The sequence below is a fragment of the Homo sapiens genome, chromosome 1, assembly GCF_000001405.40.
Source record: "Homo sapiens chromosome 1, GRCh38.p14 Primary Assembly".
In the NCBI taxonomy this organism is placed as follows: domain Eukaryota; kingdom Metazoa; phylum Chordata; class Mammalia; order Primates; family Hominidae; genus Homo; species Homo sapiens.
In genome coordinates this window covers 195,298,116-195,307,480 of record NC_000001.11, presented here as the reverse complement: position 1 = coordinate 195,307,480, position 9,365 = coordinate 195,298,116, and the positions used below count along the sequence as shown (strand labels likewise).

The following is a 9,365-nucleotide window of genomic DNA, read 5'->3' as shown; positions in this document are numbered from 1 at the left end:
TAAGCTAAGAGGTGACAAGTACATGCATATTTGTTTGTTAGTTCACATTATCGGCCTCAGAGATTAACTTATTTTCCTAGCTATAATGGAGAATATTTTATAATAAACATAATTTTAATAAGTTGTTTTAAAAAGTAAATTTAGACTTTTTTTAATTTGGAAAATGGACAAGTAAATATCTGAAATATATGTATGGCCCAATCAAATGAGGCAAGAATATCATGCAGTGTCCTATTCTTATAATAAGGCACATTACTCTTGAATTCCAATCAGATTCAAACAACTATATGCAGATACAACTATATGAAAAAATTCAATATTAGTAATATTATGGTAATTATATTAGTAACAAGTTTCATTATTGACATGTATAACTATTATAAAATTGTGTATGATACCACTATTTCACATATGTATGTATATGTATATCTATCTATACCTTATTGACAGAAAAACCCAGTAATTTACTGATGTACCCAGTATATCCTATGTGTGTGTATGTGTGTGTATATGTACACACATATACATATTTATATAGCTACATACATATATTACTAAGAGGAAACTCTGCAATTATATATATATAGATGCTTATATATAGAAAGTATATACTATGACTATATGACTTCCTAATACATGCACACACATAAACAGGGAATCCAGTTAACACATTCCACCAGTCTCAATACCAATTTTGAAATGACTGCTCAAAAAATTTCACAATACTCTACTTGATACTAGTGACACTGACCTGGACATTATCAGACTCACAATAGAGAAGGCCTAAGATCCTTCTTTTGTGTCTCCAAAAATACCTCTCCTTGACATCACTGTTCTTAGACAAGACGTGACAGTATGCCTGAAAAGATATCATCTAGGCTAATTCCCTACATTTCTGTAAATGTAAGTCAAATAAAAGAGCTCCCAAATCCCAGACCCTGGCTCCTCTAATATTACTCCATCCTCATGGAAACATAACATATAAAGAACACCAATCATATGTCCTCATCTGCTTCAACAATCATTCACACTGCCTCATTGAACTCTTGCTCTCTTTCAGCAGACCACCTTGTAAGTTCAGCAATGTTCTCTCAAGGGGTTTGTTACTCTCTGCTATAACTGAAATCAGATGCTCCCCTAAGATCGCGTTTTTCATCTTTTTCTTCTTCTGCAGTTCTCTTAAGCAGACGTTATTTCATCCACTATGCCTCTTTTTCCAGTGGTTCTGATCTATGCCTCCCTTGCTCTTCATTGTCATCTCCGAGCCATTTTCTTCTTCTCTCTTTTAGTATGTATTTATTTTGTCTTCCTTCCATTGTTACATTTTTTTCTCCTTCAGAATACTTTATGTGTCTGTTATACCTCCAAGTTTCTCATCTTTCATTTGAGATAGTTTTTGTAGTAGTTTACAAACCACCACTTTAATGCTCAAAAAAATCCCATTCTTCGTTTTAACATTTACTGTTTTTAAGTTCATAATTTTTTTTCAAAACTCTTTACATTTTAAATTTCATACAAAAGGCCTATATTCTATGAGCTGTTTCAGAAGTAAGGTTGAAAGTGTTGTTTCTATTTACAGAGGTTCGTTGTTTTATTTTGTCTTTTTGTTCATTGTTTTCTTGTTGTCTATTTACAGAGGTTCGTTGTTTCTTTTCTTTTTGATACATACTTAGTTGGGGACAGAAGAACATCTTTATTGACCACATCAAACCCCAAGAATTTGATACATCCATATGTACATACATATACATCCATATACAAAAGTATTTATACATATGGATAGTCTTAAAGGTTTAAGGACTCTTAGTTTTATAGTCTCCTTCACCAGATATTCGTTTTGCATTTAAATTTAACTGTATTCTGGTGGTTCAAAATGATTCTCTCCTATTTGAGTCACTTCAGAAGGTCAGTTATTATTCAATTTAGCTCTTTGAGGCTCAAGTATAGTTATTATTAATACTCCTATTAGTAGGATTCCTGCAGGTGATTAAAAAAAAAAACAGTCATTCTTAGTTTGTGGCTTAAGTCTTAAGTGTCAGCTATCAGTCCTCTTCAAAGAGATCTGCATGAAACAGTTCTGATCTCTCATCTCCTTGCAGACTCCCACTCTAATAGACCTGAAGATCCAGACCCCCAATGAGATCTACCTGGCATTCATGGGTCACAAAGCTCTGATGTAATCATACAGAGTTGACATAAAAATCATCCCTTGAAGTACATATCACGCAAATGTCAGACACCACCCAGGACCTCATTTTTTTTTTCCTTTTATTCTCTACTCAGGGTTCTGAAGACACACTCTTACTGATTTTCTAAGCCACGGGGGAAGTGCATTAATTCAGTTCTACAAATGTAATCTCCAAGGAGCTAAATGTATCAATACCTATTTCTCCAGAGATCACAGCTGTCTGAATTAAGAAAGTCAAGTAATTCAGAGTTGGCGATATAGGACAAGGAAGTGATGCTCAGGTGAAATGTGATCAGGACTCTCAGATTATTGACTCTTACTTAATTTTGTGTTTTACTCATATAACATCTCTCAAGAATAACTGTTGACATTTGCACTTAGTATTTTAACCGTATTATCAAAAGTATTTCTCTTTGTGTCTATGTTTTATTGCTTTAAATAGTAGCAGAAATTTGATAAAGTGATTTCTGTGATCTCGATTCTTGGGGTTTGTTGTAGTCAATACAGAAATTCTTCTGTCTTCAACTAAGTATGTATCAAGACAAGAAGAAAGGAGAGAACCGGGATAAACAGAAACAATTTCAGCTTTACTTCTGAGACAGCTCATAACATAGGCCTTCTGTATGGAATCACAACAGGTTCCTGATACTGAACTTCAAAAGTAGACAGACTGATCCACATTGTCAGTGTATTTGTCAGGGTTATCTAGAGGGACAGGACTATTAGGATAGATGTATATTTGAAAGGGAGTTTATTAAGGAATAGTGACTCACATGATCACAAGATGAAATCCCACAGTAAGCCATCTGCAAGCTGAGGAGCAAGGAAGCCAGTCCAAGTCCCAAAACCTCGAAAGTCGGGAAGCTGACAATGCAGCCTGCAATATGTGTCCGACAGCCCGAGAGCCCCTGGCAAACTACTGGCGTAGGTCCCAGAGTCCAAAAGCTTGAAGATTTTGGAGTCTGATGTTCAAGGGCAGGAAGCATCCAGCTCAGGAGAAAGATGGAGGCCAAAAGACTTAGCCACTTTAGTCCTTCCAGGTTTTTCTGCCTGCTTTTATCCTAGCGATGCTGGCAGCTGATTAGATGGTGCCCACCCAGATTGAGGGTTGGTTGCCTCTCTTAGTCCACTGACTTAAATGTTAATCTCCTTTTGCAACACCCTCTTAGACACACCCAGGAACAATACTTTGCATCCTTCAATCCAATCAAGTTGACAATGAATATTAACCATCACAGTCAGGCAACACTGCAAAGCCACAGTCTCCCTCCAGCAATCAGAATCTTATTGCTAAATTTACTGCATGCCCTAAAACAGAGGAAAAACACACTCTTTCTGCACGAAGAACCAGAGAAAAAGAAAAATAGAAACAGGCCGGGTGCGGTGGCTCACGCCTGTAATCCCAGCACTTTGGGAGGCCGAGGTGGGTGGATCAGTTGAGGTCAGGAGTTAGAGCCCCGCTTGGCCAATATGGTGAAATCCCATCTCTACTAAAAACACAAAAATCAGCCGGATGTGGTGGCGGGCACCTGTAATCCCAGCTACTTGGGAAGCTGAGGTAGGAGAATCCCTTGAACCCAGGAGGCAGAGGTTGCAGTGAGCCGAATCACGCCACTTCACTCCAGCCTTGGCAACACAGTGAGACTCCGTCTCAAAAAATAACTAAATATAATAAATAAGAAGAAAAGGAGAGAGAGAGGGGGAGAGAGAGAGAGAGAGAGAGAGATGAGCTTTACATAAACTGCTCTTTCTCTGGAAATCCCTCTTGATACAGAATTGGTAAGAGTGACAGAGAGGTCAAGAATGCAACCAGATCTGAAGCCCCTTCACAGCAAAAATATTGGCCAAGGGAACAAATACTTGGGTAAATTTTAAAATCTGTGTTATTGTCTTGGCAAACTTCTGTAGAACTGTGTAGTGACAAAGGACATTAATGTGCATTCAGGAAGTCTGGGTTCAGGTTCTGTCTCTGCCACTGACTAACTTGAGGACTTTGGATAGGTTATTGGAACTCACATGTCTCAGTTTTCTCATTGCAGTCACAGAAAGCAGAGCACAATTATGAGCAGCTAATTTGTAAACATTCATTAAGTCACAAATAACTAAGATTCCAATAAACTCATAAATGTTTATTCTTTCCCTCTCTTAGCGTCAATGTTCTGCAGACAATTGAGTCTCTTAGCAACAATGTTCTGCAGACAACTGAGCTTATTGATTGTTTCCTCTATGAAGTAGCTTCATTTTAATAGTGGGTACTTTATATAATTGTATTTATCATTATAAGTTAAATGAATTACCAGACATGTCTAAATGTGTGTTAATTTTTATGTTTTATTGAAAAATATTGTTACGTAATGTAAACATTCAGATACAAATGACACAACTACCCCATTTTGATTAATATTCAAAAGTTTATGTACTGTTGCTTTCCATTTGTAATGGGCCTTTCTTTGGTGATATCAAGCATCTCAAGTGCAGAATGACTTAAAGGCATGAATCAAGTACAAATTTGGAGGAATAGTCTTCCAGACAGTGGATCCAAATGCAAAGGTTCTGAGGAAGTGATGTGCTTGATGTGTTTAAGGAATAACAGCAAAATAAACATGGGTGGAGTAGAAAGAGAAGACTATTTTGGTAGCTCATCAGAATGTAGTAGGGCTGTTTCACCTCAGGCCCTCTAGGCCACTGTAATGACTTTGGGTTTGTTTAAATGCGATGAAAAACCTTGGTAGTTTTTGAAAGGCGGGATTATATAATCTGATTTCCTTGTGGCTGCTATGTGGAGAATTAACTGTAGAATTGCACAAGTTAGAGTAATACATCCTGATTTCTCCTGATGCTTCCATTTTACATATTGTGTAATTATTAATAATGCTCATTTACTCTCAAAAGAGTCATGGTTTAGATGTTGTTATATGGTGACTCTGGCAAGAGTAGAGAGGCAAAAGGGTTAGTAGGTGACTATTAAAGAAGTCCAGGGAAGAGATGATGTGTGCTAATGTGTGGAAATGGAAGTGTTGGTGGGGGTAGGGGAGGATAGAAAGAAAGGTAGCTATGTTCTGTGACTCTGAAGAAGTTGCCTCTAGTAGATACGTATACAGTGAGTGTTCTCACATGTACAAATACGCATATGTGTGTGCATAATATATGATAATACTTCTACATATGCCTTTACTGTACCACTTTGTGTGTGAATACATACATACATATATATGTACACACATTTGTTTGCTTATGTGTGTGCACATGTAGAGTGAGCATATATGTATATAATGTACATGTATATATTATAATAATAATAAATGACATTTATTTTGTAGATTATATGTTATATATTATTGTTTTTAAATGTTTGATTATAATTTCTTTTGTTATTAAAATTGTTAGGTAAAATATTATATGACATCTAATAATAGCTCTGACCTTTATAGAAATGTGAAAAAGTTTACATTTACTTTGAATAATATTTGAGATAAAACAAGGATAATTTATTTAGATTGTAAAGCTTTACTGCTTAAGTATATTTAATCCTTAAATAAGTGTTGTTCTAAATTCTACTTTTGACTTACTAAAAATAGTTTAATATTTCTTTAAATCAACATATGTTAAATATTTTTTACTTTATTCTTACAATCAATTACTATATAACATCAATCAAATCTTATAGAGCAGAAAACTTCTGACAGTATAGAGCTATTCTATAGCTTGTATGATAGTGCAAAATATGACTTATTACTACAAATTTAATTTCAGTTGAATTTGATTATTTTTTAGAAAAATAGTGTTTTAGCCTTTTAATAATTATATATGAATGGTTAAATTAATATTATCAATTACATGTATTAAAGTATTTGCCTAAACTTAAAAAAATGCTGTTAGAATAAGTAATCAACACATTAAACATTCATATTAAAATTAATAATGAACTGTTTATTGATTATCTGCTATTTTAAATAATTATTCATGTATAGTTTTAAAATGCAGAAAATCATTTTTATTGACAATGATCAAATTACTATAATGTCTAGTTATTACAATTAAAATTATTCACATTTTACAATTTAAATTTGAAAAATGGTTAACTTTGTAGGTTGCAATAGGATTACCTATATATTTTACAGAGGAGAAAACAAAAAGAATCAGCCTACTATTGAGAATTAAATATTGGTATCTCCTCTTTCTCCACAACTTATATGTTAGGGTTCCTTAACATTTTATCACAGGTTTTTCTTCTTAGCTTCTACTTTCTTTAAAGTGCACTTATTTTAAAAGCTTTAATTAGCACCAATATTTTCATGGCTCATAAATGTTATCTCCAGCCTTGAACTTTCCTCTGATCTACAGTTCATTCAACAGGAATTCTTAGGGGTTTCAAACATTTCTCAAGCTCAACCTGTGTGAGATAAAAAGTCAATAATACTCCTTTTTCCCACCAGGAAATCAGCCTTCATTTATTATTCTTTGTTTCAGTAAATGACACCATCATTTACCCCCCAAAAAACCTTGAAATTTCAGAGTCATCCCTAATTTATTTCTCTTTCTACATCTCCATATTCAATCCATCATCAATCCAAATCCAAGTGACTTTCTAAATATCTTTTGAATGTACTGATTTTTTTAATCTTGCTTGCCTTAACTTCACCTTGCTCAGGCTTCAGCAAAGAATGCTTTAACTGATCTGTTCAATCCTCAGTAGCTGAAGTTATATTTTCGAAATCCAAATCATATTTTTCTCTCATCAGAAACCACTATCACCAACAACCCCTTTTGACTCCATCACATACTGAACTTTCTGAACTTGAAACCCTTTTATATCTTCATATTATTCTTTTAACAATGTGCAAATAATGCAAACAAGCAACAGGGCCTTAAATAATCTCACTCTAACCTAATTCTATAGCTTAACATCTTTCCAAATTGCTCTTTCATCCCTTTGCTCAGATCAGCTGACATCTTCATGCATCTTTAATTTAACATTCTTCTTCCCATCATAAAGCCTGAGCAGATACCATTTCTTCAGTCTGAATGGTTTTCTTTTTCATCTTACTATTCTTAAACTCTTAATTCTTTTTATATTTGCAATATACCTCCTCAAGAAAACATTTCTTAACTTCTTAACTTATTAAATTCTTTATGATAAATTCTTCAAGCACCATCAATTCTTTGCACGTTAGTTCAAATATTCATATATTTGCATGAATTGCATTTTTTGCAAGACATAAATCCCATAAGAATAGGAAACAAATATCTTTTTACTCACAATTTTATTCCACGTGCCAAGCACAGTATCTGCATATAGCATGTCATTACAATGTATATGAATAAATATCTCCACTATAGCACTATTAAGTTCAAATATATACTTTGAGGAGAAATTGTTTGTTGAATAAGCACTCACGGAATTCTTTGTGAAGGAAATACAAAGATAAATAAGAAACCTTGAATATTTTGTGATGATATTAATTATATCGACAAATAATATTGAAAACTATTGTTCAAGGTTCATATTGGGTGTAAATTGGGTCCATTAGTGCAGAGAAGAACAGTCATTGCTTATGTTTCAGTCAAGAACAAAGATGAATGAGCATTAATTTTAGAATAGATGTTAAGAGTTTTAGTACTGTGTACTATAAAATTAAATAGGAAAAGAGTATCATATTATTTTGAAATCAGGGAAACTATCCTAGAGAAGGTGTTTTCAATATAAAACCTATGCAAAGAGAGAAAAATAAAGCAAGGGAAAGAGAGAAAGACTTCTGGCAGAGAGAAGAGGACGTGTAGACTCTGCACATCAGAGAGAGTAAGAGACTTTTGAAAAACTGAAGGAAATTTACTGAAACTGAGAAGAGATTACAGAAACAAACTGAGACTGAAGGGAAAAACAAAGCCTCAGCATTGTCTGAAGATTAGAATGTGTCTCCATAGTATACTGCTGATGGTTGAATCTGGCCACCAAAGTTTCTGTAATATTTGGACAAATATTTATTTATGCATTTGTTCATAAATGTCATTTGTATTAACAGAGCAAAATACAGTAGGATAATATATAGAGAGACAGATGAATACATTGAGTTGAAAAAGAAAAAATTAATACGTTTGGAAAACTTCTAATTCTTATAAATGCAAAAAGACAAATAAAACATGAAAAGTACAAATTAACTAGTTGTGAAGGTTAGTAAGGTAGCATTGATTAAATAAATTCCATGAGATAAAATTATGTTGGCAATTATGGGGATTTTAAAATACTTTTTAACCTGAATTAACCCTGTGAATGGGCAAATGCTTGTCTAATTCTGCGGACGATGTTAGTTTCAGGACAGTATATAATTTTTTGCATGGTTTTAACATAAAATTAATGAGGTTGTCTATTTTCAATTTTTCACCAAATAGAAACCAAATTATTTCGGATTACTTACCAGCAGGCATGTTTAGCTTCATTTCTTATAAAAGGTTAAAATATTTAAAAGAAAATTAAATTAGTGATTTGTAATTATTGGCTAAGTAAATTTAATTCTAATATGCAAAACACGGTGATATTATAAGGGAACCTGAATTATACATAATACAATTTTAATGATTCTTAGCAAATCTTAGCCAACTGAGTTATGAATAATTAAAACTTATACTCCTAAGTAGCCTTTAGGTGTATAATGGTAACAAAAATAAATTGAAACATCTTTATTCTGTCACAAAATTTATTAATCTTTAAATGTCCATGTTCCACCTGAAAACTTTTTGATTTTCATGCTTTCATAATTTTCATGAATTCTTATATTTTATTGCAGTGGTATATTGGAGTAGAAAATGGCTTCCACTTTGCACGTGGCCTTTTCTCTTTATTCTCCTGGAAGATCCTCTGGCTCTCCTTGTGCAAATATCCAATCACACCAAATTATGTCAGGGTATATTTTCTTTAGTTTTGTGAGTATTAATTTCCTTAGTATAGACAAAAGCTAGACATAGAATATACCAATAATAGTTCATGATTCTAGGAACCATTTATTCAATAACTTAGAATCTAGAGGAGAAGGTAGACAAAAAGTCAATCTCTGCTTCATATATTAATGTAGAAAAATACAGTGTATTGGAGGGGCTTCCGGCTATGGTGAAGTGAAGTCAGGCATACATAGCCCAGCACTATCTATGTAAATTTTAAAAATGCAAATACCGTATACAA

General features: G+C 33.5%; 1 annotated feature.

Annotated features, from left to right (window-relative positions):
* Positions 775-975: a silencer, noted in NCBI's record as "peak626 fragment used in MPRA reporter construct". NCBI's record gives its function as "represses an SCP1 promoter by STARR-seq MPRAs in K562 erythroleukemia cells {active_cell/tissue: K562}" and the evidence as "EXISTENCE:reporter gene assay evidence [ECO:0000049][PMID:32103011]".